The sequence below is a fragment of the Homo sapiens genome, chromosome 1 (genome assembly GCF_000001405.40).
Source record: "Homo sapiens chromosome 1, GRCh38.p14 Primary Assembly".
NCBI lineage: Eukaryota > Metazoa > Chordata > Mammalia > Primates > Hominidae > Homo > Homo sapiens.
Window position 1 is genome coordinate 212,904,520 of NC_000001.11, and position 27,234 is coordinate 212,931,753.

Consider the following 27,234-nt stretch of genomic DNA (forward strand, 5'->3'; position numbering starts at 1 on the left):
AATAACAAGTAAGTAGATTGTATCAGTAATCAAAAATTGTCCGTAGAAGAAAAACCAAAGTCCCAGTGGCTTCACTGGTGAATTCTACCACACATTCAAAGAAAATAATACTAGTCCTTCTTAAAGTGTTCCATAAAATTTCAGAGGACGAACACTTCCAAACTAATTGTCAGCATTACCCTGATACCAAAACCAGTCAAGGACATTATAGAAAATAAAATTACAGGCCAGTATCCCTGATCCTCCACAAAATACTAGCAAACCAAATTTAACAACACATTAAAAGGATCATACACTATGATCAAATGGGATTTATCCCAGGGATATAAGGATGGTTCAACATATACAATTCAATAAATGTGATATACTATAAGGGTAAAAATTATATAGTCACCTCAATAGATGCAGAAAAAGTATTTGACAAAATTCAACACCCTTTCATGATAAAACCTCAAAAAAAAAAAAAGACATAGAAGGAGCTTAACCTCAACACAATAAAGATCATTTATGAAAAGCCCACAGCTAACATTATACTCAATGGTGAAAAAGCTGAAATCTCTTCCTCTAAGATCCAGAACAAGGCAAGGAGGTCCACTCTTACCACTTCTATTTAGTAGGACTGGAAGTTCTAACATGAGTAATTAGATAAGAAAAAGAAATAAAAGGCATCCAGACCTGAAAGGAAGAATTAAAATTGTGTGCAGATAACATGATCTTATGTATAAAAATCTCTAGAGATTCTATGAAAAAACATTTAAAAATAAATTCAGGAAAGTTGCTGGATACAAAATCAACATATGAAAACAGTTGCATTTCTATATACTAATGAACTATCTGAAAAACTAAGCAAAAAATTTCATTTACAATAAGATCAAAAAGAATAAAGTACTCAGAAATAAGTTTAATCAAGGAGGTGAAAAATCTGTACAATGAAAACTATAATGCATTGATGCAAGAAATTGAAGACAAATTAATGGGAAGATATCCCAAGTACATGGATCAGAAGAATCAATATTGTCAAAATGTCCAACTACCCAAAGCAACCTTAAGATTAAACACAATTTCTCTCAAAATTCCAATCGCATTTTTCATAAAAATAGAACAATCTTAAAATTTGTGTGGAACCTCAAGAGAACTTGAATAGCTAAAGCAAACTTGAGAAAGATCAAAGTTGTATCACACTTCCTGATTTCAAATTATATTACAAAGTTACTGTAATCAAAACGGCATGATACTCTCATAAAAACAAACTAGGCCAATGGAACAGAAAGCCCAGAAATAAACTCATACATACACTGTCAATTAATCTGTGACAAGAATACACAATGTGGAAGGGATAGTCTTCAATAGATACTGTTGGGAAACCTGGATAACCACATGCAAAAAAAAAAAAAAAATGAAATTGGATTCTTATCTTACATCATACACAAACATCAACTCAAATGGATTAAAGACAGGGCAGGTGTGGTGGCTCATGCCTGTAATCCCAGCACTTTGGGAGGCCGTGGTGGAAGGATCACTTGAGTTAGGAGTTTGAGGACAGCTTGGGCAACATAGTAAGACCTCGCCTCTACCAAAAAAAATTTAAAAATTAGCCAGGTATGGTGGCACACGCCTGTGGTCTCAGCTACTCAGGAAAGCTGAGTTGGAAGAATCTCATGAGCCCAGGAGGTTGAAGCTGCAGTAAGCCGAGATTGCACCACTGCACTCCAGCCTGAGTGACAGAATGAGACCTTATCTCAATAACAACAACAACAACAACAAAGACTTAAATATAAGACCTGAAATCATAAAATGTAAGGAGGAAACATAGGCATTGATGAGCAATGATTTTTTTTTAATATGACACCAAAAACAGAGACAGCAAAAGCAAACATAAACAAGTGGGACTAAACTTTTAGCGTAGAACAGCAATTTTGCCCGCCACCACTTTTGCACCATCATTGCAAATGTCAACATAGTGAAAAAGGTATATAACTTCTTTGTATTATTATGAAAAGAGTTTGGACATTATGGATTCCCTGAAAAGGGTCTTGCTTCTAGAAAGGAGAAACTGGCTATCACTACATTGATCAATGATTCACAATGCCAGAATATGGAGAGAATAAAGAGTAAGGGAGGATCAAGGATCAAAGGCCTCTAATTAAAGGAGGTAGGTGGAACATAAAGAGTTAGTGGAGACAAAGAAGGAGCCTAAGGGAAAGACAGGCAGAAGATTTAGGGTGGTTTTATTAATGAGACCAAAGAGAAGAGAATTGGTAGCTGCAAAGCAAGATACTACCTCTGTGTAAACGAAGAGTTATAAAAAGCTGCTACTACCATCTGTTGTCATGCCATTTAAATTATAATTAGTATGATATTTCAGGATAAAGTTTCCAGCATTATTTAGTTTTACAAACAGCTAAATATTTGAGGCAAAAGCCATGAAACTGTTTAAAATATAAAATAATAACATGGCATTTTATCTGTTACCGGCTACCCTATAAGAAATAGGAACTTTAAAATCTAAGACCTTTCTCAGATCCCATTCAGAATCACTAAAATTTACATTTAGATTTTCAGTGGGAAAAACTACTTCCATCCAGAAAAAAAGATACTCTTTATTTTCAATAGCAGGCGAAGAAATCTAGGTAAGTAACACATTTCTGAAGTCACCTCTTTCCTGTAAGCCACCTGTTAGTGTCAGCTTCTTGTCCTCACCACACTGCCCCTCACTTTCTGCAGGAAGAGTTGGTCAAACTAATAGGTGACATCCCGCCCTGAAGTAATTTCAGGGCCCTTGACAGGATCCCATGCCTGGAAGATGCCTTTATGACCTTTCACCGGAGATACGATATTTTTGGGTCCCTAAAGAGAGAGAAGGTTTCAAAGCACACCAGACTACCAAGAGGGAATATCTCATCTTAAGTCTGATGGCTGTCCTGCAAGCAGGTTTGAATAGGAGGGAGGAGGAGATGGGGCTTGGAGGCCCTATAGCCTTGAGAAAGGAGAAAAGGACGGCACAGGAGAGAAATTTAGAAAGGACTCATTAAAATAAGACATATGAGCCTCATTTTCCATTTCGACAAGTGACGTATTAAGCCTTTGTTTTATCTTGTTATATGTACCCATTTGCACTTTTCCCTTTATCTTGATTATTTTAACCCGTGGGCGAAATGGTAACTGTAAAGAGAACAACCTGGCGGAAACCAGTGGAAACTTGATTTCTGGTTGGAGCCCATAGGTTTCGGTTGACAAATGCTGCTTGAGCATACCTCTCATTCCCATAATGAGGAAAACATTTGATTCTTCCAGGGATGAACTGGCCCCAAACTCCCTGAGATAAAATGATAAATTAGATTTTTATAAAGTTTCATAATGCATAAAAATTAAAATGAGGCTGAAATAGGACTGACAGTGCTTTCTTTTTCAGTGAAAAGGCTGAATCCTTCAAAACATACTTTGACCCCAAACCAAGACGGACAAGATCTGGGTCATTCCAGCTAGGGCAGAATTTGTCCATGGCCAGAGCTTTCTATTGTGTCATCAGGAGCTCAGAATTTAAAAAGATGTCCCTGGAGAGGCTATACACAGCAATAAACTCATTCTTTGCAACGTTATTCAATACTTGGTACTCTTATTCATAAGGTAGATTCCTTGAATGGTTTTCTTCTGTTATTTATGTGCATTACCTCACTGCCTCAACTGTACCATGAGCCCTTTGAAAGTATTCATCGGCCGGGTGCTGTGGCTCACACCTGTAATCCCAGCACTTTGCGAGGCTGAGGTGGGCGGATCACCTGAGGTAGGTTTCATGCGCGTCCGTGTGAAGAGACCACCAAACAGGCTTTGTATGAGCAACAAGGTGGTTTATTTCACCTGCGTGCAGGCGGGCTGAGTCCGAAAAGAGAGTCAGCGAAAGGAGATAAGGGTGGGGCCATTTTATAGGATTTGGGTAGATAAAGGAAAATTACAGTCAAAGGGGGGTTGTTCTCTGGCGGGCAGAGTGGGGGTCACAAGGTGCTCAGTAGGGGAGCTTTTGAGCCAAGATGAGCCAGGAGAAGGAATTTCACAAGACAATGTCATCAGTTAAGGCAGGAACAGGCCATTTTCACTTCTTTTGTGGTGGAATGTCATCAGTTAAGGCAGGAACCGGCCATCTGGATGTGTACGTGCAGGTCACAGGGGATATGATGGCTTAGCTTGGGCTCAGAGGCCTGACAGTAGGGAGTTTGAGACCAGCCTGACCAACATAGAGAAACCACGTCTCTACTAAAAATACAAAATTAGCCAGGTGTGTTGGCACATGCCTGTAATCTCAGCTACTCGGGAGGCTGAGGCAGGAGAATCACTTGAACCCGGGAGGTGGAGGTTGCAGTGAGCCGAGATTGCGCCATTGCACCCCAGCCTGGGCAACAAGAGCAAACTTCCATCTCAAAAAAAAAAAAGAAAGAAAGAAAGAAAGAAAAAGAAACAAAGTATTCATCATGGATTACAGGATAAAAACATGGTCTTTGTGGGGCCCAAAGTCTTAGGTTTGAAACCTATTTATGATCTTGGGAAAGTAACTTAAACCCCCTGAATTTCCGTTTCCTCCTCAATTAAATAGGACAATATTTCCTGTTTTGCAGCTTTGTGGTGAGGGTTAAATTTAAGCAGAAGGCACACAGTAGGTCCTCAATGAATCAGATCCATTATGACTCTCATTTTAAAAAAGTGTGAATAGGAACTTGCTGCTGATAACACACACTTAAGAAGCAGCAGCCTGATTTGAAAGAACCAGTGTTCGAACTTGACTTTTTTTTTTTTTTTTTTTGAGATGGAGTCTCACTCTGTTGCCTAGGCTGGAGTGCAGTGGCGCAGTCTCAGCTCACTGCAGCGTCCACCTCCCGGGTTCAAGTGATTCTCCTGCCTCAGCCTCCTGAGTAGCTGGGATTACAGGCATGCGCCACCACGCCTGGCTAATTTTTGTATTTTTTTTTTTTTTAGTAGAGACGGGGTTTCACCATTTTGGTCAGGCTGGTCTCGAACTCCCGACCTCGTGATCTGCCCGCCTTGGCCTCCCAAAGTTCTGGGATTATGGGTGAGCCACCGCCCCAGGTCTAAACTTGACGTTATTTATAAGCAGCTGCCAATAAAATTATTATTTTCCCAAAATATTGTCACTTGCATGTGTATGTGGGTACAGTGCTGGGCACTGTGCAAAGATGGTGAAACAAAAATGAATTCAGAAGATATCTGAATTCAGGGGAGATATGGGCAAATAAGATGGTAGCCAAGGGATTTGGGCACCAAAAGAACAAAACTGAGTTGTTTTGTGAGCAGGAAAAATGGTTCCTATATTTATCGCACAATCCTCAACAAAGGAAATTAAAAAACAAGCTAGAAAGGAAGCCACCAACAAGCCCACTACCCATGAATAACTCACTTTTCTTGTTCTCTTTTAGTTTATAGGCATACATAATTTTACATAAGAATAAAGCAGTTTCTATATTTAACATAAGACCATTGTCAGGCCTCTGAGCCCAAGCCAAGCCATCGCATCCCCTGTGACTTGCACGTATACGCCCAGATGGCCTGAAGTAACTGAAGAATCACAAAAGAAGTGAATATGCCTTGCCCCACCTTAACTGATGACATTCCACCACAAAAGAAGTGTAAATGGCCGGTCCTTGCCTTAACTGATGACATTACCTTGTGAAAGTCCTTTTCCTGGCTCATCCTGGCTCAAAAAGCACACCCACTGAGCACCTTGCGACCCCCACTCCTACCCGCCAGAGAACAAACCTCCTTTCACTGTAATTTTCCTTTACCTACCCAAATCCTATAAAACGGCCCCACCCTTATCTCCCTTCGCTGACTCTCTCTTCGAACTCAGCCCGCCTGCACCCAGGTGAAATAAACAGCCATGTTGCTCACACAAAGCCTGTTTGGTGGTCTCTTCACAAACCCCTTCTTCACCCTTAGCAGCAAGTCCCGCTTTCCTGGGGCAGGGCAAGTACCCCTCAACCCCTTCTCCTTCACCCTTAGCGGCAAGTCCCACTTTCCTAGGGGGCAAGAACCCCCCAATCGCTTATTTCCGCACCCCAACCTCTTATCTCTGTGCTCCAATCCCTTATTTCCGCACCCTGACCTCTTATCTCTGTGCCCCAATCCCTTATTTCCGTGCCCCAACCCCTTCTCTGCTTTTCTGGAGGGCAAGAACCCCCCACCCCTTCTCCGTGTCTCTACTCTTTTCTCTGGGCTTGCCTCCTTCACTATGGGTATGTTTCCACCTTCCATTCCTCCTTCTTCTCCCTTAGCCTGTGTTCTCAAAAACTTAAAACCTCTTCAACTCACACCTGACCTAAAACCTAAATGCCTTATTTTCTTCTGCAATGCCGCTTGACCCCAATACAAACTCGACAGTAGTTCCAAATAGCCAGAAAATGGCACTTTGAATTTTTCCATCCTGCAAGATCTAAATAATTCTTGTCGTAAAATAGTCAAACGGTCTGAGGTGCCTGACGTCCAGGCATTCTTTTACACATCAGTCCCGTCCTAGCCTCTGTGCCCAGTGCAACTCGTCCCAAATCTTCCTTCTTTCCCTCCCGCCTGTCCCCTCAGTACCAACCCCAAGCATCGCTGAGTCTTTCTAATCTTCCTTTTCTACAGGCCCATCTGACCTCTTCCTTCCTCCCCAGGCTGCTCCTCGCCAGGCCGAGCTAGGTCCCATTTCTTCCTCAGCCTCCGCTCCTCCACCCTACAATCTTTTTATCGCCTCCCCTCATCACACCTGGTCCGGCTTACAGTTTCGTTCCGTGACTAGCCCTCCCCCACCTGCCCAGCAATTTACTCTTAAAAAGGTGGCTGGAGCCAAAGGCATAGTCAAGGTTAATGCTCCTTTTTCTTTATCCCAAATCAGATAGCGTTTAGGCTGTTTTTCATCAAATATAAAAATCCAGCCCAGTTCATGGCTCGTTTGGCAGCAACCCTGAGACACTTTACAGCCCTAGACCCTAAAAGGTCAAAAGGCCGTCTTATTCTCAATATACATTTTATTACCCAATCTGCTCCCGACATTAAATAAAACTCCAAAAATTAAATTCCGTCCCTCAAACCCCACAACAGGATTTAATTAACCTCGCCTTCAAGGTGTACCATAATAGAAAAAAGTTGCAATTCCTTGCCTCCACTGTGAGACAAACCCCAGCCACATCTCCAGCACACAAGAACTTCCAAACGCCTGAACCGCAGCAGCCAGGCCTTCCTCCAGAACCTCCTCCCACAGGAGCTTGCTACACGTGCTGGAAATCTGGCCACTGGGCCAAGGAATGCCCACTGCCCGGGATTCCTCCTAAGCCGCGTCCCATCTGTGTGGGACCCCACTGAAAATCGGACTGTTCAACTCACCTGGCAGCCACTCCCAGAGCCCCTGGAACTCTGGCCCAAGGCTCTCTGACTGACTCCTTCCCAGATCTTCTCGGCTTAGTGGCTGAAGACTGACACTGCCCGATCGCCTCGGAAGCCCCCTAGACCATCACGGACATCGAGCTTCGGGTAACTCACAGTGGAAGGTAAGCCCGTCCACTTCTTAATCAATACGGAGGCTACTCCACATTACCCTCTTTTCAAGGGCCTGTTTCCCTTGCCTCCATAACTGTTGTGGGTATTGACGGCCAGGCTTACTAAACCTCTTAAAACTCCCCAACTCTGGTGCCAACTTAGACAATACTCTTTTAAGCACTCCTTTTTAGTTATCCCCACCTGCCCAGTTCCCTTATTAGGCTGAGACACTTTAACTAAATTATCTGCTTCCCTGACTATTCCTAGACTACAGCTATATCTCATTGCCGCCCTTCTTCCCAATCCAAAGCCTCCTTTGCGTCCTCCTCTTCTATCCCCCCACCTTAACCCACAAGTATAAGATACCTCTACTCCCTCCTTGGCAACCGATCATGCACCCCTTACCATCTCATTAAAACCTAATCACTCTTACCCCACTCAACGCCAATATCCCATCCGGCAGCACGCTTTAAAAAGATTAACGCCTATTATCACTCGCCTGCTACAGCATGGCCTTTTAAAGCCTATAAACTCTCCTTACAATTCCCCCATTTTACCTGTCCTAAAACCAGACAAGCCTTACAAGTTAGTTCAGGATCTGCACCTTATCAACCAAATTGTTTTGCCTATACACCCCGTGGTGCCAAACCCATATACTCTCCTATCCTCAATACCTGCCTCTACAACCCATTATTCTGTTCTAGATCTCAAACATGCCTTCTTTACTATTCCTTTGCACCCTTAATCCCAGCCTCTCTTCACTTTCACTTGGACTGACCCTGACACCCATCAAGCTCAGCAAATTACCTAGGCTGTACTGCTGCAAAGCTTCACAGGCAGCCCCCATTACTTCAATCAAGCCCAAATTTCTTCCTCATCTGTTACCTATCTCGGCATGATTCTCATAAAAACACACGTGCTCTCCCTGCCAATCGTGTCCGACTGATCTCTCAAACCCAAGCACCTTCTACAAAACAACTCCTTTCCTTCCTAGGCATGGTTAGCGCAGTCAGAATTTTTACACAAGAGCCAAGACCACACCCTGTAGCCTTTCTGTCCAAACAACTTGACCTTACTGTTTTAGCCTAGCCCTCATGTCTGCGTGCAGCGGCTGCCGCTGCTTTAATACTTTTAGAGGCCCTCAAAATAAGTAGAGGCCTTTCCTACAGGGCCTGAGAAGGCCACCGCAGTCATTTCTTCCGTTCTGTCAGACATAATTCCTCAGTTTAGCCTTCCCACCTCAATACAGTCTGATAACTGTATTTATTAGTCAAATCAGCCAAGCAGTTTTCCAGGCTCTTAGTATTCAGTGAAACCTTTATATCCCTTACGGTCCTCCATCTTCAAGAAAAGTAGAATGGACTAAAGGTATTTTAAAAACATATCTCACCAAGCTCAGCCACCAACTTAAAAAGGACTGGACAATACTTTTACCACTTTCCCTTCTCAGAATTCAGGCCTGTCCTTGGAATGCTACAGGGTACAGCCCATTTAAGGTCCTGTATAGACGCTCCTTTTTATTAGGCCCCAGTCTCATTCCAGACACCAGACCAACTTAGACTGCGCCTCAAAAAAAAAAAAAAACTTGTCATTCCTACTATTTTCTGTCTAGTCATACTCCTATTCACCATTCTCAACTACTCATACATGCCCTGCTCTTGTTTACACTGCCAGTTTACACTGTTTTTCCAAGCCATCACAGCTGATATCTCCTGGTGCTATCCCCAAACTGCCACTCTTAACTCTTGAAGTAAATAAATAATCTTTGCCGGCAGGACTATGCCAAATCTCCTTAAGCACTCTCTAATCAGACATCCTGAGTCGTCCCAATTCTTAGACCTTTTATACCTGTTTTTCTCCTTCTGTTATTCCATTTAATTTTTCAATTCATACAAAACCGTATCCAGGCCATCACCAATCATTCTATATGACAAATGTTTCTTCTAACATCCCCACAATATCACCCCTTACCACAAGACCTCCCTTCAGCTTAATCTCTCCCACTCTAGGTTCCCACGCCGCCCCTAATCCCGCTTGAAGCAGCCCTGAGAAACATCGCCCATTCTCTCTCCATACCACCCCCCAAAAATTTTCACCGCCCCAACACTTCAACACTATTTTGTTTTATTTTTCTTATTAATATAAGAAGGCAGGAATGTCAGGCCTCTGAGCCCAAGCCAAGCCATCACATCCCCTGTGACTTACAGGTATACGCCCAGATGGCCTGAAGTAACTGAAGAATCACAAAAGAAGTGAATATGCCTTGCCCCACCTTAACTGATGACATTCCACCACAAAAGAAGTGTAAATGGCCAGTCCTTGCCTTAACTGATGACGTTACCTTGTGAAAGTCCTTTTCCTGGCTCATCCTGGCTCAAAAAGCACCCCCACTGAGCACCTTGCAACCCCCACTCCTGCCCACTGAGCACCTTGCGACCCCCACTCCTACCCGCCAGAGAACAAACCCCCTTTCACTGTAATTTTCCTTTACCTACCCAAATCCTATAAAACGGCCCCACCCTTATCTCCCTTCGCTGACTCTCTTTTCGGACTCAGCCCGCCTGCACCCAGGTGAAATAAACAGCCATGTTGCTCACACAAAGCCTGTTTGGTGGTCTCTTCACATGGACGCGCATGAAAACCATAAGCATTTTCCAATTGTCCTTTAAAACCATTATTTTCCATAACCACATAATATTGCAATAAGCTGACATAACATCGTTACCTAATGCTTCTCTACTCTTGGACATTCATTCATTCACTTATTCAACATGGAGCATTTAGAATTTTGTCAGTTTGTGGTAGGAGCTGGAAATGCAAAGACAGTGTTCCTCTTTCAAGATGCTCAAAGACAAGAAAAGAAATCATTTCAGTCCACAGCACTTGCCAAGAGGACATACATGTGCAAATGAAATGGGAGCCCCAGGGGGGCAGCGGCCCCTTCTGCTAGACACAGACATGCAGGAGCAGACTCAGTTCTCAGTGTTGGAATCAGGCAGGGCTTTTCTGATCGTTTGAGCAGAGGATTGCGCTGTTCAGGAGGCCCCAGTTTGAGTGTTTTATGCCCCTTATGCTTCTCTGTCCATCCCAGAACTCATTCTCACCTTCTAGTTTGTCAAAATACTCTCTCATCTCCTTTCATCTCAGATACAAAAGACAGGCAACAACCTCAAATATAATCCCAGTTGTATTTGCATTTTAACGTGGTCTAGACTGAATAGATACAGCCCTGCCTGCCTCCATTGTCCAGTAAGGCAAACGGGGTGAGGTTTTGGCTCTCCTTGTGTCCTTATCGTTACTCTGCCTTAGACCATTGCCTCTTTGGCTTGCAAGTACATCTGACTTTTTCTAAGTCCTGAAAATCTGGCTGCTAGACCCTCACCTGGCACTGTGCCTGGAGAGAGCCATTTCCATTCCACAGATGGGGAAATCACCCTCTCTACTGGTCATTTCATGAACTGTTGCAGACTCATTGCTGAAATTTCACTGGATTGTGGTGAGGGGGTTGGGGGTGTTGAGGATAAGGGACCGGGATGTGCCAGTTCATTTCAGCCATATCATCAAACCTGTAGCAGTCACTTGCCCCAAACACACACACTCAGACACACACACGCACACCGAGACCTCCCACTGCCTGGATGGAAGGTCACACTGCATGGGGCAGTGGTGAAACATTAGCTATCAATGACCTTTCTAGTGACGCATGAAGCCAAATCATGGGATGGTCTATGCGAGAACAGCCCAGTGACTCAGCCTAACTGGAGGTAGAAGTTGTCCAGGACCCCACTTCTGTGAAATGGGAGACAGCATGCTGTTTTTCACCAAAGGCTGCTCCTTTGTGGAATCCCTTGGGCGCCCTTGGGCTGTGCTGCTCCAGGCCCCACCCAGTGGCCCAGTGAGGGGTTCCCTTCCACAGGAACCCCTCAGCCACACCCGCATGCTTTCTCCATTCCCAGTCCCTGGGGATGAACAAGCAAGAAATGGTGGCCCTGCACTCAAACAGCAGATGCACGTGGGGCAACAGGATTTGGACACGGTGTTAGCCTCGGAGCCAGGTTACTTGGGAATCTGTGAAAACAAGCTCTCCAAGTCGGGATAGATGCTCGCCTGTGCCTGGAAGAGTGAAAGCACCAATCCTCAGCATTTCTCCCCCATTGTATGCTTCTCAGGGAGAAAAGGACACGACTTTCTCTCTTTCTCTCTCTCTCTCTCTCACACACACACACACACACACACACACGAGTACTATGTATTTCTGCAACACTGGGGTAAATGGATGAGGTCTGTGAGTGGAGGCCCCAGCATGATCTCCAGTACCCCAGCTTCTGCCTCGCACCCCAGGGCCAAGGACTCGCTCCATGGCATCCCTTAACCCAGAGGTTCCCAAACTTGGAATCACCCGGAAGGCCTGTAGGAACACAGTAGGTCTGAGGCGGGACCCAAGACTTTGTATTCCTAACAAGGTCCCGAAGAACCCTGGGATCTTGCTGGAGCTGCTGTTTTGGGACTATACCCTGAAGGCATCGCCCTGCAGTAGCTGCCCCAGGCAGCCGAGAACAGCCACTGCCTCTCTCCACCGTGGCTCCCGGGCTGTCCCAGAAACACTCCCTCTGGCCTGACTGGAAAGATGACCCGGCTGTTCTTTTCTTTACGGAAGGCTTTTGTATTTCCCCCATGAAGAGGAACAATATAGAGATTCGGTTTCTCGGGCAGCCCGGCTGTTCCAAACCCGTGGGTGCATCTGTGACTGTGGTGGGGAAGGAACACAGATGGTGCTGCGAGGCCGTCTCCAGACTGTGGAAGCCACAAGCCACTGGCGTCTGCTTCTGTGGAGAAACAAACTTCAGCCACCCACGGGCGCCCCCGCAAGGGCCGGGCTGATTCCTCGAGAGTGGCTGGCGCTGGGCCTGCACAGCACTCTTCCCTACTCTACGCTTACCTTCCTCCCCTCCCCTATCCTCTGGGGCAATTCAGAAACGGAAGACATGGTGGATGTGAGAAGGGAGTGGAGGATAGGGAAAGGCGGGTTGGAAAACCTGGCCTGGAGGTAATAAAAGTGACTTCCCACCCAGTGAAGGCAGCACTGACACCCGCTCCATGCAGTCCCGGGATGGCCACCAAGTGAGGGAGCAGCAAAAAAGAGAAGACGCAGGGAAGGTGAGAAGAGGCTCTGCCCCGCAGACTGCACAGGAGATCCACCGCTTCCAACAGGGAGCATTCCTAGGTTTCAACCACAGCCCTCGTTCTTCTGAGAGAGCAGAGGCATGAAAGACAGACGTTCATTGTCTTAATTTTTTTTTTTTTTTTTTGCTCCAGGAATTACCTAGAGATCCCCAGGACTGCCACGCTGGGCCAGACTCACAGGACACTACTTCCCTGAATTATTCGCTTCTAGAACTATGGATGATGGGTTCATCTAACCCTTCCTTGATTTGTTTGTTTTCACTATGTTATTTATAAAGATAATGGGTTGTATGATAAATACTTCTTTTTTCTTTTTTTCTCTCTCTCTCTTTTTTTTTTTTTTTTTTTTTTTGAGATGGAATCTCGCTCTGTCGCCCAGGCTGGAGTGCAGTGACGTGATCTCAGCTCACCGCAACCTCTGCCTCCCGGATTCAAACAATTCTCCTGCCTCAGCTTCCCACGTAGCTTGGATTACAGGTACCTGCCACCACGCCTGGCTAATTTTTGTAGTTTTAATAGAGATGGGGTTTCACCGTGTTGGCCAGGCTGGTCTCGAACTCCTGACCTCTGGTGATCCACTCGCCTTGGCCTCCCAAAGTGCTGGGATTACAGGTGTGAGCCCCCGCGCCCGACCTTCTTTCTGTCTTTAAATTATTTCTTAAAATTGATTCTCTCCTTTGGATGTTCATCCCACAAGTTGATTATGGAATTGGTTCATTTATTCATTCAACACACATCTAACAGCACTTTGGGCCAGGGGTTGGGGTTGCAGAGCCAAGCAGGACCTCATGCTAGCTCTTTTAGCTTAGTGAGGACAGACATGTGGAGAACTTCAAAGGTGAGAAAGTGCTAAGGAGGGGCCACACGGCATGTGTGGCACATTAGTGAGGACGGCTCTGCAGAGGGGTGGGTGTGCTGGGGAGGGAGTGACGGAGGAAATGGCATGGCGGAGCTGAAATTTGGGCCGAGTCTGATGGGGCACCCACCAGTCCCCCTAGTGAGAACTCCTCTAGTTTTCTATCTTTTACCACAGACAGGAGTTTCTGCCCTTAGCAAAAGCTGCAAGTGCAGGAGGACCTGACCTCCCCAGTCTTCCTTTCGATCTCAGGTTTTCTTCCTGCACTGTCTGAGCTGACTGTTCCCAAAGGACACTTGGCTGGTAAGTTTTATGCATTCCTGTCACTTCCTTATCCTCCAAAATAAGGTGGGCTCTTGAGAAATGGGAAAGATTCTCTGGAATTTGAATGGTTCACAAGAAGTCTCTTCTGGACAGGGGACCAGATCTCATAACGGTTCCTTTCCAAAACTCAAATTTAGTGTGCACAACAATAAACAGGAGTGCTTATAATTAAAAAAAAAAAAAAAAAAAAAAGACACAGATCGCTCAAGCTCACTCCCAAAAATGGATTCCTTAGACCCAGGATGGGGCCCTGGAATTTCATTTTTCACCAGCATCCCCATGTTCCTGCAATAATTGGGCAGTGGTCACCTTTTGAGGACTACTGACCCCTTAGAATAAAGCCCTCAAGCCTTCGAAGGCTGTGGCCACCTATTTGGAGGACCACCTGGGCTGTTGATGAGTAGGGAGTTTCCTCCTGCAAATAGTGCTCTAGGGGGCTTGGCAGATCTGACAAAGTCCCTGGCTTGGGAAGAAGCCCAGCTGGTGCATGGTGCAGGTCTGGGAAAGTGCTCATTGGTGGCTCTTCTGCAGAAGGGGTCCCAGGGGACATCATTCACTATGCCATCAGTAAGCAATGCTGGTCAGGCTCTTGGCTAGAGGGTTGCAGTCCTACTGTAGGAGGGGCTAAGCATATGCTCCATCTGTGGAGAGGATGACAGTTCCTGAAGGGCCTCATCTTCATCTGCATGATCTCATTTGACCATTGCAACCACCCCATGAGGGAGGCAGGCTTTGAGCCACGTAACCAGTGGCAGCACCAAGAGATGTCTGGGAGGGGCTCAGTATTGCCCTGGTTCCCAGTCCCCAAGGCTCCCGAGCCATCTCTAGTTAGCCTATAATCTAAGCAAAAGATAAGTCTACTGAGATATCTTGTTGGGCTATACCTAAACGTTTGAAATGTCTATTTTATACTGAGTTTGCCTAAATGTCAGCAATTTTATCATGACCTAGTATTCAATTATGAAAACAAATCATAAATAGAATAATATTGTTTGCATTTGATGTTCATACTATTTCTCTGAAGAACTGAAGACTCACCTGTACCAGATGTGTTGTTGTAAAAATAATAAACAATCTGTAATAAAAAGAAATGGCAAAGCCAAAAAAAAAAAATCTAAGCAAAAGAGTGTGCCTGTGCTTTCAGGCCCTTTTCTAGCACCCTACTCCCCTTCTTTAGGGTACATTGGTGTTCATAAGTGCCTCCTATAAAGAAGCCTGGAGCCTCACTCAACCAATCATTTTGCAGAAAAGTAAACTCAGACCCAGGCTTACCAAAAGATGCATGGCTAGAAAAGAATGGAGTCGGAACGAGGGCCCCATTCTTGAGATTCCCAGGGGAGGCCTTTGCTGTCTCATTCGGCTTCCTTGGGAAAGAGAAGGTCAGATCAACCTTGAGCAGGGAGTGGCTGGCAGCAGCCTCAGCCTCAGGCAGGTGCCAGTCTATCCCCACAAAACAGAGGGATGTCTCCAAGAAGGAGTCCGCACTGATGACCAGCCTGAGGGCATCAGATGTAGGCTGCCTTCCACCTGGCATGGAACTGCTGCTGGCTCTTCTGCCTCCCAAGGCCTGAGACACGATTGCCTGGATTACTCCATGGAGCCGGGGCCTGTGCAGACCCTCAAGAGAGGTCTTTTGCAGCCAACCTGTTGGGCAGCTGCCCTGGTGCCCTCAAGGTGCCCCCCTTTCTGTGCCCACCTCATCTTTGGGGCCTCACAGTGAGGATGTGGCCAGTGACAGGGGCTGGGGAAGATACACCAGGGTAGAGAGGTGGACACTCCGGGCTTCTGGTTATGATGATGATGATAGCCAGACTGGTGATTCCCAAACTGGAGGGTCCTTGGGATCTTCTGGCAAGGCAAAAAGTCCAGCATGCCATATCCACCGACTCCTGAGTCAGATACCCGGAAAGAACCTGAGGTTATCTATGTCAGGCTCTCTGATGACGATTTTGTGTTGAATAAAGTTTAAAGCACAGATCCATTCATGCTTTCTCATGTTTATTTTAATGACTGTTAGGTACTTTCAAGTCTGTGGCCGGAAATGTATCTTTAAAAAACCACCTTGCTTTTGAGTGATCTGTACTCTGAGGGTCTGTGGCCCACGTGGTGCACCCAGAAGAACAGTGGGGCATCCAAGGACCACCATCCCAGGCTCAGAGGGCTGGGCACTGGCATCTGGGGCTCATGGTGGCCGAGCTGCCGCATGCTGCTACAGGGGCCCCCATCCATCCTTCCTCTGGATGAGCCGGGCAGTGGCTTTGCTGCTCCTCCTCCCTCACATCCCGATCTCCACTCTGCACCTCTAGCTTGGAGTTCTGTGCTCTCCCAGGGAAGAGGGGACTCTGCCTGCCTTGGTACCCCCTGAGGATGATGGTAGCATCTTAAAGCCTGGACCCTGTTGGGTTCATCGGTCCAACCACAGATGCCTCTTCCAGCCAGCTGTGCCTGGTCCCTATGAAATGTAAATGTAGGTGGGTTCACCCTTCTGGAAACAGACTTTGGGTCTGGCTCCGGGCTGGACTCTAATTCAAGTCTTAAAAACTGTCCAAGAGGCAGACCCAGGTAAGCCCCATGCTGGGCACTGTGGGATTCCCAGTGCCTTCTAGAATTTGCTTCCTAATCTACGTGTTGTCATTGCTGCCACCTCAACCCCAAGTTTGTCCCCAGAGCTGGAGGCTTGACTGTTGTTCACTTTATGGCCACTGGAGGACAGTAAGAAGCACTTTCCCATTTGCACCCTTCCCGTGGGCCCCATCCATTCCTACAGCAGAGACTGTCAGACCTGCGTGCACCCCAATCATCTGAAAATCTTGTTCAAATGCTTTTGTCCTGTCCCTTACTTGCCGTGTGACTTGGGGCAGGTTACTGACTTTTCGGAGCTGAATTTCAGATTTAGCTGGTTTGGGGCTGAGAGTTTGCATTCCTAAGTTCCTTGGCGATATGGCTGCTGCGGATCAGGGAGATCATCAGAGGCTAAGATCCCCTGCAGTCTCCTGGGAGCCTGGCAGCCTGGGATTTTGCTCTCCTGGTCTCACAGGAAGCAGGTGGAAGTGGCCACGGCTCTCCTCCCTGGAAGGTTCCTCTACCACCTCCACCCTTCAACATCCCTTATTGCTAAATCCCTAGGGAACCTTGCCACCAGAGGCCTCCATGGCCAAACAATGAACCTTTCTCCAACCACAGGAGCTCAATAGAGGGTAGATGCCCTCGGAGAGAGAATAGGAAGAGGAGAAAAGTAACTGGAGAAGGCTGGAGAAGAAGGAGACAGGAGGAGTGAACCCTACACATGGATAGTGGTCCTAGAGCAAGTTGCAGACAGGACAGCCACCATGGGTCTGGGCGCCTGAGATGGGAGACAGTTTGGCCCACTAAGAAGATCCTGGAGGCCGAGTCCTAGAGGCCCCTGTCTTAGTCTGTTTGGACTGCTATGACAAAAATACCATAAACTGGGTGGCTTATAAACACTAGCCATTTATTTCTCGCAGTTCTGGAGACTGAGAAGTCCAAGATCAAGTTGCTGGCAGCTTTGGTGTCTGATGACAGCCCATTCCTCATAGTGGCTTCTTGCTGCCTCCTCACGTGGTAGAAGGGGTTAGCCAGCTCTCTGGGATCCCTTTTATAAGGGCACTAATCCCTCATGACCCCCTAAGAAACCCACCTCTCCCTACTTTCACATTGGGGGTTAGAGCTGAACATGTGAATTTTGGGGGAACATAAGATTCAGCCCTTTCTGCACTTCCTCCTGGGTACCTTTCCCAGGCGCCTGTGGCATACGACTGAGTTCTGGTTGGTGGGATGTGGGTGGAAGTGATGCCACTCCCTGGCCTGCAGAAGCCTTCCGTGTGACTCTGCACTCACTCCCTCATGTGGTGTGTCACTGGGATGTCAAAGCCCTGGGATGCCTCGGGATTCATGCCTTGAAGATGATGGTACCTCGGCACCCTAAATGGTTGCATGGAGCCCAGCACCCCCTCCCCAGGCCCATCAGACTTTACATGAGAGAAGAGTGAACTCCTATTGAATGAAGCCACTGGGATTTCAGAGCCTACCTCTTACAGCATCTGCCATTACCTTAACCAACATATCCGCCCCATGCTCTGATGTGAAATGAGAAAGAGCAGATACCACCATACTTCATTAGCTTCATCACAAGTACATTTAACATCTTCTGCTCCAGGATAATAACAGTCACCACAAACTGAGCGTTGATCATGTGCCAGCCTTTGTTAGTAACTGCTTTGCCTGTATTAATTCAGGCAATTCTCTTCACAACAATCTAATGGTTAGTAAAAGGTGGTGCTATTACAATCCCTGTTTTGCAGATGCAAGCTGAGTTAGGTGGCGGGGTGCTGTTAGGTATTGTGACCAAGGTCACACAGCGATAGTCTCTAGTAAGAGGCCATCTGTCTCTAGCCCTCACATGCTAAACTACACCATCTGCTCCCCAAAGACGCAAGGCCCAATCCTCAACTGTGAGGAGCTCGTGTTTCAATTGGGAAGACCTGATATATACCTGGGAGCGTGAATTTGGGATCAGGGAGCAGAATTTTTCTGACCCTACTGTTGCTTGCTAAATTCAGATATATATGACCCCAGAGTTGAAGGAGGAAAGGAAAATGAGATTAATGGGACAAGGACAGGTCCATAGTAACCTTAGGGATTTGAGCAAATAATGTATAAGTTTGAAAAACTCCATGTGAATCACATTCCCAAATTTCCCTTTCCCTCCCATTCTCTGCACCACCCTGCACTCTTCTTTAACTTTGTGGTTTCAGGTCTCTCCCAATAGTTGAACAAAGGAGAGAGTCAATAGTTGAACAAAGGAGAGAGCCTACAACAGTGCCAGGCACATAGTAGATGCTCAATAAATATTTGTAGAGTGAATTAATGGAGAGAAACAGTTGGCTGGAATTTGGCAGCAAGTTCCCATCTACTCAGGGTCTCAAATCATTGAATCTTATGGACCGTGGAACACTCAAGAAGCCATTTGGTCCATGCTTTGCTTCTACTGAGGACTACCTGCCAGCCACCCCCTCTTTCCTTTTCTTAAAGACTTAATGAGGCCGGGTGCGGTGGCTCACGCCTCTAATCCCAGCACTATGGGAAGCCGGGGCAGGTGGATCACCTAAGGTCAGGAGTTTGAGACCAGCCTGGTGAAACCCCATCTCTACTAAAAATACAAAAATTAGCTGGGCATGGTGGTGGGTGCCTGTAATTCCAGCTATGTGGGAGGCTGAGGCAGGAGAATTGCTTGAATCCAGGAGGCAGAGGTTGCAGTGAGCTGAGATCACACCACTTTATTCCAGTCTGGGCGACATGAGTGAAACTCCGTCTCAAAAAAAGAAAAAAAAAAACTTAATGAATGTCAGGGCTGATGGAGACCTTTAGATACCATCTAGCTCTGCAAGTCTCAGACTTGATCATGTACAGTATTCCAGCTGTGGACCCCACTCCTAAAGATTCTGATAGAAACTGTCTAGGTTGCAGCCTAAGCATGGGGATTTTTAGCAGCTCCCAGGTGATGCTAATGTGCGGCCAAGCTTTAGAAGAAGGGATGTCTTTCAGTCCCCTCCTTTTATGGACCCAACTTCAGAGAGGGGAGGGGCATGCCCAGGATTCTCCATGGGTTATTGACAGGGCTGACCCCAAATCCAGTGAGTGCTGCTCTCTACCCAAAAGGCATCTCCATTATCTGTTCAGAAAATGCATTTTAGGGTCTCCTGGCTCTTTCAGTAGAAAGTTCTTCCTTAAGTCACATCCTTCAAGCTTTTCCTTGATCTGCCCAGAGTAGATTTAGTTTGAATCCAGCAGAAAGTGCAGCTTCACTGAGGTCCTCCCCTCTGCTCAGTTCTGTCCTCCCTTTAAAATCCTGTGCATAGCTGGGGGCGGTGGCTCAAGCCTGTAATCCCAGCACTTTGGGAGGCCAAGGTGGGTGGATCATGAGGTCAAGAGACCGAGACCATCCTGGCCAACATGGTGAAACCCCGTCTCTACTAAAAATACAAAAATTAGCTGGGCGTGGTGGCACGTGTCTGTAGTCCCAGCTACTCGGGAGGCTGAGGCAGGAGAATCGCTTGAACCCAGGAGGCAGAGGTTGCAGTGAGTCAAGATCGTGCAACTGCACTCCAGCTTGGTGAGAGAGCGAGACTCCATCTGAAAAATAAAATAAAATCCTGTGCATTGATGTATTCCGTTTCTTGGAGAAGTCTCCGATGATGCACCTCCTTGGATGCCTCCCTCTGCTCTACCTCTTTGTCCCTTGCCACTTTGTTTCTGGCCTTCCTTCCTCCACCTGGCCTCTAGCCCGTTCATTCTTCTTTGGGCTAGTCCTCCCCAGATCATCACTGCCCCACTGAGCTGCTCCCCAGCAAGACCTGGAAATAAGTGAATTTTTGACTCCTCATTTTTCACTCCTTCATCCTTGTGACTTCCCTCCAGCTCTGCAAAGGGAGGGCTGGCCCCAGAGGATCCGGCTCTGTCTCCCTCACAGCTGGCAAACAGCTAACTTGAGTCATGGCCTTGGAACACAAATAATCTGTTCTCATTTATTTAAAAAATAAAACAAACCATCAGCAGCCAAAACAACACACTGATAAAGGCTTTGGTGAAAGATGATCCAGAGTAGATAAACTGTTCCTTAATCAGCAGTGTGGTAAATAAAACCCCTCTTGGGGAGCCTTGCTGAGGGTATTTTGGGCAGCCTGGAGAGTTTTTAACCCTCATTAGCCCCAACTAAAAATGGAGCCACTGGAATTTCTGCACGCAGCTGTTAAGCAGTGAGTAGGACTTTGAGTGTGTTATTACAAACACTCTTACTGATTATGCCTCCCAATCCCTCAGGAGCAGAGGAGGAGGCTGTTTTGTGCCTATCTTCCAGGGCTGAGATCACTGCTGCTCTCACGGTTTCCTGACAATTTCTTCACCTCCCAGCCATTCCCTTGGGCTGAGTAGAACATCCCCTGCTGCCTTTTAGAACTTTGCCAATCATGGCTGGGCATGGTGGCTCACGGCTGTACTCCCAGCACTTTGGGAGGCCGAGGCAGGCGGATCACCTGAGGTCAGGGGTTCAAGACCAGTCTGGCCAACATGGTGAAACCCCATGTCTATTAAAAATGCAAAAATCAGCTGGGCGTGGTGGGGGGCACCTGTAATCTCAGCTACTTGGAAGGCTGAGGCAGGAGAATCACCTGAACCTGGGAGGCGGAGGCTGCAGAGAGCCGAGATCACACCAGTGCACTCCAGCCTGGGCAGCAGAGTGAGCCTCCATGAAAGAAAGAAAGAAAGGAAATGAAAGAAAGAAAGAAAGAAAGGAAATGAAAGAAAGAAAGAAAGAAAGAAAGAAAGAAAGAAAGAAAGAAAGAGAAAGAAAGGAAGGGAGAAAGAGAGAGACAGAAAGAAAGAGAAAGAAAGAAAGAGAAAGAAAGAGAGAAAGAGAGAGAAAGAGAAAGAAAGAGAAAGAAAAGGAAGGAAGGAAGGAGGAAGGAAAGAAGGAAGGAAGGAGGAAGGAAGGAAGGAAGGAAGGACGATACTGAAAGCAGAGAATGATGGCTGAGGGAAGAGGCAGGAAGAGAAAGGTGTATAGAAAAATAATCTAGCCCAGAAAGGACAAAGTGGCCACTGCACACTGAGATGTCCCATAGATGTGTCTTCATTGGCTTGTACACTGTTTTGTGATGGAATTTCTTGCTAACAGTTGAAAAACCTAAATACTTCCTAAAAAGATCCAGATGTCTTGAAAAAGTGTAGCTCTGAGAACATGAGGCACTTGGCCAGCGATTGGTTGACGCTGACTAGAGGCTGCATCTCTTTTTTTTTTTTTTTTTTTTTTTTTTTTTTGAGACAGGGTCTCACTCTGTCACCCAGGCTGGAGTGCAGTGGCATGATCTCGGCTCACTACAACCTCCACTTCCCAGGCTCAAGTGATTCTCGTGTCTCAGCCTCCTGAGTAGCTGGGACTACAGGTGTGCGCCACCATGCCCAGCCTAATTTTTTATATTTTTAGTAGAGACAGGATTTCACTGTTGGCCAGGCTGGTCTCTAACTCCTGGCCTCAAGTTGACCTGCCCACCTCAGCCTCCTAAAGTGCTGGGATTACAGACGTGTGCCACGGCGCCTGGCTGGAGGCTGTCTCTTTCTAAGGGGGACTGCCCTCTCCAGTTTGCCACACCCCTGTGCAGACAACTTCGCTTGTTTCTGTTATCTGTTGCCTCCCAGTTGACATCTGAGGCTACGACCCCTGATCTATTTCTACCAACCCATTTCCTGTAAGAAAAGCAGGACCCTGAGAGATGCAGAGACCAAAATCTAAGGCAAATGGGTGAGTTTGACTTAGCTTCCCTATGATGCATCATACTTAGCTTCCCTATGATGCAATTTCTTCGTTAATAAATGAGGAATATTGATAGTGCTTGTATTAGGCTGCCATAACAAAGTGCCACAGACTGAGTGGTTTAAACAACAGACATTTACTTTCTCGCAGTTCTGGAGGCCAGAAATCCACGATCAAGGTGTTGGCAAGTTTGGCTTCTGGTGGGGGCTCTCTTCCGGGCTCGTAGATGGCCACCTTCTCACTATGTCCTCACATGGTGTGTGTGTGGAGAGACAGAGTGTGAGGGAGAGATAGAAAGAGAGGCACAGTTAGAGGAGAGAGAGAAAGTGCTTTGTGGTGTCTCTTCTTATAAGGACGCTAATCCTATTGGATCAGGGCTCCACCCTTATGACCTCACTTAACCGTAATTACAACCCTAGAGGGTCCACCTCCAAATATAGTTGCTCTGGGGGTTAATGCTTCAACGCATGAATGTGGGGTAGGGGAGGACACACAACAGCACCCCTTTCCTAGGGAGGCTGTGTGAAGATGGAGTGAGTCCGTGAGAAGCACGGGGAACAATGTCTGGCATGCAGTACGTTCTTGGTGAATCTCAGCAATAATACATACTGGTCATATCGAGGGGAAGGGTTTCCTCCTGAGCTTTTTGCAGCACCTTTTCTGTCAAAACATGTATTTGTCCTGGGCACTCACTCTGCTCCCCAAATAGCTGCCATCTTTCATGAGGCCTAGGAAAGTGTTATGATTAAGGAAGACCTGTTGGCACGTTTCCTTCTTTTTAGACAGATTCTCCCTCTGTCACCCAGACTGGAGTGCAGTGGCACCATCTCAGCTCACTGTAACCTATACCTCCTGGACTCATGTGATCCTCCCACCTCAGCCTCCCGAGTAGCTGGGATTACAGGTGCCTGCCACCACACCGGGCTAATTTTTGTATTTTTAGTAGAGACAGCGTTTCACCATGTTGGCCAAGCTGGTCTCGAACTCCTGACCTCAAGTAATCCGCCCGCCTTTGGCCTCCCAAAGTGCTGGGATTACAGGCGTGAGCCACTGTGCCCAGTCTGTTGGCACACTTCTAATGCTGAACCCATTCCTCAAATCGGATGCTCAGGGAGGATCAAGAAAGAAGGTTGGACCCCCTTCCTATAGAGCCGTGGGCTCCTGGTCTCAATCCAGTAGTACATCCAGGAGTGGATTCAGCCTCTGAATGTGCTGGCGTTGACAGTCTGAACGCACCAATGTCTTGTTTTCCCTCACGTATTATTTGGTTCTGTGACGTCTGATCTGTTTTTCCCTTTTATCTCTGAGTGAAACACCCCCAGAAGGCATGGGGTATGTGCCAGTGTCCTGAAGATTGGGGATGCATGAGGTAGTCTCTGTCTGTTCCCCAAATCCACTTTCTTCCCTGCTCTGTGCACGGGAGGCTGCCCTCAGGGGGCTGGGCTCCTGGGGCTCCTGACCTTGCTGGCTCCTCCAGGCCTCAGTGGGAGAGCTTTCCAGATGTTTCCAGTCCTGGATGCTTCACCATCCTTGGTGTTTCCCTTCATCCTGCCTATACCTCTGTTAACATTCCCTTCACAAGTTTATTTCACTTACACCCTTTTCAGAGTTCCACCTGCACCCTGCTTGCCTCCTGACTGATACAGGAGGAATCTGAGCTGTATATAGTTTTCTGGGGAATAGTGGAGAAGTCTGAATTCAGATAATGCTGTCCAGTGGCTGGACATGAAGGGGATGCACCCATTGTGCTCAGGCAAGAGTTTCCGACTCTAATTTTGCTGACTATTCATAATACAAATCCTCCGGCATTCACTAAATAGGTAGGGACTGCTACCTGCCTTGCCCAGGACATTCCAGGCTGAGCTGAGATGAGCAGGTATAGCTCCCTTCACAGCACGCAGGTTCCTGGACCTTTGGAAACTCCCCAGCCTGGCTCCTGTACAATCCCAATGCCATGCCCCCAGCTTAACTGCTTGAGGTCTTGCTCATCTGACTGGACAGGCCTGTAGCAGTGTGTTCTCATTTCCGTTGGAATAAAGATGCTATCTTACTAAGCTCATTTCATTTTTGTCTTTCTGAAGTGCCAGGGAGCCCAAAGGGGAACTTCCACACACCACCCCTGCTGTCCCAAGGCATCTGAGCAACAGCTCCCCTCTGTATAAATCTGTCCAGGAAACCCCCGCAGAGGCCAGGGCCGAGCAGCTGCAGGATGGCTGCTTTCCTAGGAAGGCCAGGCACAGAGCCTGCGGCTGCACTGTTAAAAAGGTGACAGCAGGTTTCTCCCTGAAGGCTGCCATTGTAAGAGAATGCAGTTCTTTTACAGCAGATGATCCTCTTCTCTGGACAAAGAGGAGCTGTCATCCAAGAAAGGCTTAAATTTCTGCTCCCTCTCGCCAAATGTCCTCAAAGCACCCTAGAACCCTAAACCTGCAGGAAGGACCATTATCCAGGCCCGAGGCTCTCCAGTGGATTATTCAGATGCTAATTTGGCTCTTTCCCCTGGCCGTGGTCATTTAGTTTCTTATTCTCTGCCATTTTCCCCCTCCTCTGTCATCCCCCCCTCCAAGAGATAGGTCAGAGATGTAGATGAATCTGAAATTCCAGCCACTTCCCTTGGAGGCAAAAGTTTGAAGTAACAGGGCAGTACAAAGTCTTTGATCATCAGGACATCTGGGAAGTGTCTGTTATTACCACTTAAATCTATGTTCTTCCTGCTATTAAAAAGGAAAAGAAAGAAAAGGAAAAAGGAAATAATTATATTGAAATGATCTAGGTCTAATTCCCAGTTCTGACACTTACTAGTTACATTACCATGCAAGTTACCTAACTTTTTAAACCTCAGTTTCTTCTTTTGTAAAACAGAAATAATAATATGTATCTCACGAGGTTATTATAGTGGATATTTATTATGTATTTTCAGTCCCCATACTTTAAAACTTTTCATTCAGAAGGCCGGGCACCGTGGTTCAAGAATGTAATCCCGGTACTTTGGGAGGCTGAGGCGGGCGGATCACGAGGTCAGGAGATCGAGACCATCCTGGCCAACATGGTGAAACCCCGTCTCTACTAAAAATACAAAAAATCAGCTGGGTGTGGTGGCGTGTGCCTGTAATCCCAGCTATTTGGGAGGCTGAGGCAGGATAATCGCCTGAACCAGGGAGTCAGAGGTTGCAGTGAGCCGAGATCGCACCACTACACTCTAGCCTGGTGACAGAGAGAGACTCTGTCTCAAAAAAAACACAAAAACAAAAAAACCTTTTCAGAAATAATTTAAAACTTACAGAAAAGAGGCAAGAATAAGAATAGTACAAAGAACACCCATATACCCTTTACCCAGTTGCAAATATCATGCCCCTTTTTCTCTATATATTTCAGTGTGTATTTCCTACGACTAAGAATATTCTCTTATATCACCAATGTCGTTAATAAATGGATAGTTATTAGTTAACATGGATACAATACTTTTAATCTAATCTAATATGTATATTTCAATTTTTGTCAATTGATCAAATAATATCATTTATATTTTTTCCTGCAGGTCAGGATCCAGTCTATGGTTATCTATTACATTCAGTTATCTCTCTTCAGTCTTCTTCAGTTTGAAACATTTCTACAGCTTTTGTCTTTTATTGCAGTGACAGTTTTAAAATATGCAGTTTTGGGCTGGACGCGGTGGCTCATACCTGTAATCCCAGCACTTTGGGAGGCCGAGGTGGGTGGATCACGAGGTCAGGAGATCAAGACCATCCTGGCTAATACGGTGAAACCCCGTCTCTACTAAAAATACAAAAACTTAGCTGGGTGTGGTGGCGGGTACCTGTAGTCCCAGCTACTCGGGAGGCTGAGGCAGGAGAATGGCGTGAACCCAGGAGGCGGAGCTTGCAGTGAGCCGAGATCGCACCACTGCACTCTCTCCACACTGGCATTGTACTCTACACAAGGATCTTCCCTTTTTCCCAATTTATTTATTTATCCATTTATAACCAATATGGACTTATGAATTCCTATTTTTTTCCCAATGATTTGTAATTCATTACTGTTGTTATTTTGTACTGAAAGTGTCCCAGATTTGAGCAGTGGAAGCTAACTCTTTGTCCTTCTGCCTTTGTGAAATGCCCTTATTATTTTTTAAGCAGCTAATTTCTGACAGAATAAGATTGTGATAGTTAATTTTGGGTGTCAATTTGACTGGGATAAGTGATGACCAGATAGCTGATAAAATATTATTTCTGCGTATGTCCATGAAGTTATTGCTGGAAAATACTATCATTTGAATCAGTGAACTGAATAAAGCACCTGGCCCTTTTCAATGTGGGTAGCATCATCCAATCCTCCGAGGGCCTGAGTGAAACCAAAAGTTAGAGGGAAGGTGAATCTTCTGTCTCTGTTTGAGCTGAGTCATTCATTGTTTCCTGCCCTTGGATGTCAGTGCTCCTGGTTCCTGGACTTTTGGACTCAGACAGGGACTTAGACTATCAGCTCCGCAATTCTCAGGCCTTCCGACTCGGGCTGAATTATACCACTTGCTTTACCTGTTTGCCAGCTTGCAGACAACAGAGCACAACAGAGCATGGGACTTCTTGACCTCCATAACCATGTGAGCCAATTCTTATAATAAATAGCCTCTAATATTATCTCTACATAACCTGTTGGTTCTTTTTCTCTGGAGAGCCCTAATACAAAGGCAATCTGGGTTCATCTTGTATTTACCCTGCACCAGCCATGGAACTGGCCATTTCTTTTTTTTTTTTTTCTTGAGATGCAGTCTCACTCTGTCGCCAGGCTGGAGTGCAGTGGCACAATTTCGGCTCACTGCAACCTTCACCTCCCGGGTTCAAGCAATTCTCCTGCCTCAGACTCTCGAGTGGCTGTGACTACAGGCGCCCACCACCATGCCCGGCTAATTTTTGGATTTTTAGTAGAAATGGGGTTTCACTATGTTGGCCAGGCTGGTCTCAAACTTCTGACCTTGTGATCTGCCTGCCTTGGCCTCTCAAAGTGCTGGGATTAGAGGCGT

General features: G+C 46.4%; 1 long non-coding RNA gene across 1 annotated transcript, besides 11 other annotated features; it reads left to right on the plus strand.

Annotated features, from left to right (window-relative positions):
- Nucleotides 3,660-4,515: an enhancer, noted in NCBI's record as "OCT4-NANOG-H3K27ac-H3K4me1 hESC enhancer chr1:213081521-213082376 (GRCh37/hg19 assembly coordinates)". NCBI's record gives its function as "activates a minimal SCP1, AML or CMV promoter by ChIP-STARR-seq in naive and primed H9 embryonic stem cells {active_cell/tissue: H9 hESC(naive and primed)}" and the evidence as "EXISTENCE:reporter gene assay evidence [ECO:0000049][PMID:30033119]".
- Nucleotides 4,516-5,373: an enhancer, noted in NCBI's record as "OCT4-NANOG-H3K27ac-H3K4me1 hESC enhancer chr1:213082377-213083234 (GRCh37/hg19 assembly coordinates)". NCBI's record gives its function as "activates a minimal SCP1, AML or CMV promoter by ChIP-STARR-seq in primed H9 embryonic stem cells {active_cell/tissue: H9 hESC(primed)}" and the evidence as "EXISTENCE:reporter gene assay evidence [ECO:0000049][PMID:30033119]".
- Nucleotides 5,374-6,229: an enhancer, noted in NCBI's record as "OCT4-NANOG-H3K27ac-H3K4me1 hESC enhancer chr1:213083235-213084090 (GRCh37/hg19 assembly coordinates)". NCBI's record gives its function as "activates a minimal SCP1, AML or CMV promoter by ChIP-STARR-seq in naive and primed H9 embryonic stem cells {active_cell/tissue: H9 hESC(naive and primed)}" and the evidence as "EXISTENCE:reporter gene assay evidence [ECO:0000049][PMID:30033119]".
- Nucleotides 9,216-9,817: an enhancer, noted in NCBI's record as "OCT4-NANOG-H3K27ac hESC enhancer chr1:213087077-213087678 (GRCh37/hg19 assembly coordinates)". NCBI's record gives its function as "activates a minimal SCP1, AML or CMV promoter by ChIP-STARR-seq in naive and primed H9 embryonic stem cells {active_cell/tissue: H9 hESC(naive and primed)}" and the evidence as "EXISTENCE:reporter gene assay evidence [ECO:0000049][PMID:30033119]".
- Nucleotides 9,818-10,418: an enhancer, noted in NCBI's record as "OCT4-NANOG-H3K27ac hESC enhancer chr1:213087679-213088279 (GRCh37/hg19 assembly coordinates)". NCBI's record gives its function as "activates a minimal SCP1, AML or CMV promoter by ChIP-STARR-seq in naive and primed H9 embryonic stem cells {active_cell/tissue: H9 hESC(naive and primed)}" and the evidence as "EXISTENCE:reporter gene assay evidence [ECO:0000049][PMID:30033119]".
- Nucleotides 10,419-11,020: an enhancer, noted in NCBI's record as "OCT4-NANOG-H3K27ac-H3K4me1 hESC enhancer chr1:213088280-213088881 (GRCh37/hg19 assembly coordinates)". NCBI's record gives its function as "activates a minimal SCP1, AML or CMV promoter by ChIP-STARR-seq in naive and primed H9 embryonic stem cells {active_cell/tissue: H9 hESC(naive and primed)}" and the evidence as "EXISTENCE:reporter gene assay evidence [ECO:0000049][PMID:30033119]".
- Nucleotides 12,224-12,823: an enhancer, noted in NCBI's record as "H3K27ac-H3K4me1 hESC enhancer chr1:213090085-213090684 (GRCh37/hg19 assembly coordinates)". NCBI's record gives its function as "activates a minimal SCP1, AML or CMV promoter by ChIP-STARR-seq in primed H9 embryonic stem cells {active_cell/tissue: H9 hESC(primed)}" and the evidence as "EXISTENCE:reporter gene assay evidence [ECO:0000049][PMID:30033119]".
- Nucleotides 12,604-15,869, plus strand: LOC124904507 (uncharacterized). Its single transcript, XR_007066874.1, has 3 exons — nt 12,604-12,681; nt 12,841-13,867; nt 15,066-15,869. It is a non-coding gene; the product is annotated as an uncharacterized LOC124904507 (long non-coding RNA).
- Nucleotides 15,786-16,585: an enhancer, noted in NCBI's record as "H3K4me1 hESC enhancer chr1:213093647-213094446 (GRCh37/hg19 assembly coordinates)". NCBI's record gives its function as "activates a minimal SCP1, AML or CMV promoter by ChIP-STARR-seq in primed H9 embryonic stem cells {active_cell/tissue: H9 hESC(primed)}" and the evidence as "EXISTENCE:reporter gene assay evidence [ECO:0000049][PMID:30033119]".
- Nucleotides 23,789-24,731: an enhancer, noted in NCBI's record as "OCT4-NANOG-H3K27ac-H3K4me1 hESC enhancer chr1:213101650-213102592 (GRCh37/hg19 assembly coordinates)". NCBI's record gives its function as "activates a minimal SCP1, AML or CMV promoter by ChIP-STARR-seq in naive H9 embryonic stem cells {active_cell/tissue: H9 hESC(naive)}" and the evidence as "EXISTENCE:reporter gene assay evidence [ECO:0000049][PMID:30033119]".
- Nucleotides 24,449-24,508: a silencer, noted in NCBI's record as "silent region_1808". NCBI's record gives its function as "represses an Ori minimal core promoter by ATAC-STARR-seq in GM12878 lymphoblastoid cells {active_cell/tissue: GM12878}" and the evidence as "EXISTENCE:reporter gene assay evidence [ECO:0000049][PMID:35858748]".
- Nucleotides 24,732-25,673: an enhancer, noted in NCBI's record as "OCT4-NANOG-H3K27ac-H3K4me1 hESC enhancer chr1:213102593-213103534 (GRCh37/hg19 assembly coordinates)". NCBI's record gives its function as "activates a minimal SCP1, AML or CMV promoter by ChIP-STARR-seq in naive H9 embryonic stem cells {active_cell/tissue: H9 hESC(naive)}" and the evidence as "EXISTENCE:reporter gene assay evidence [ECO:0000049][PMID:30033119]".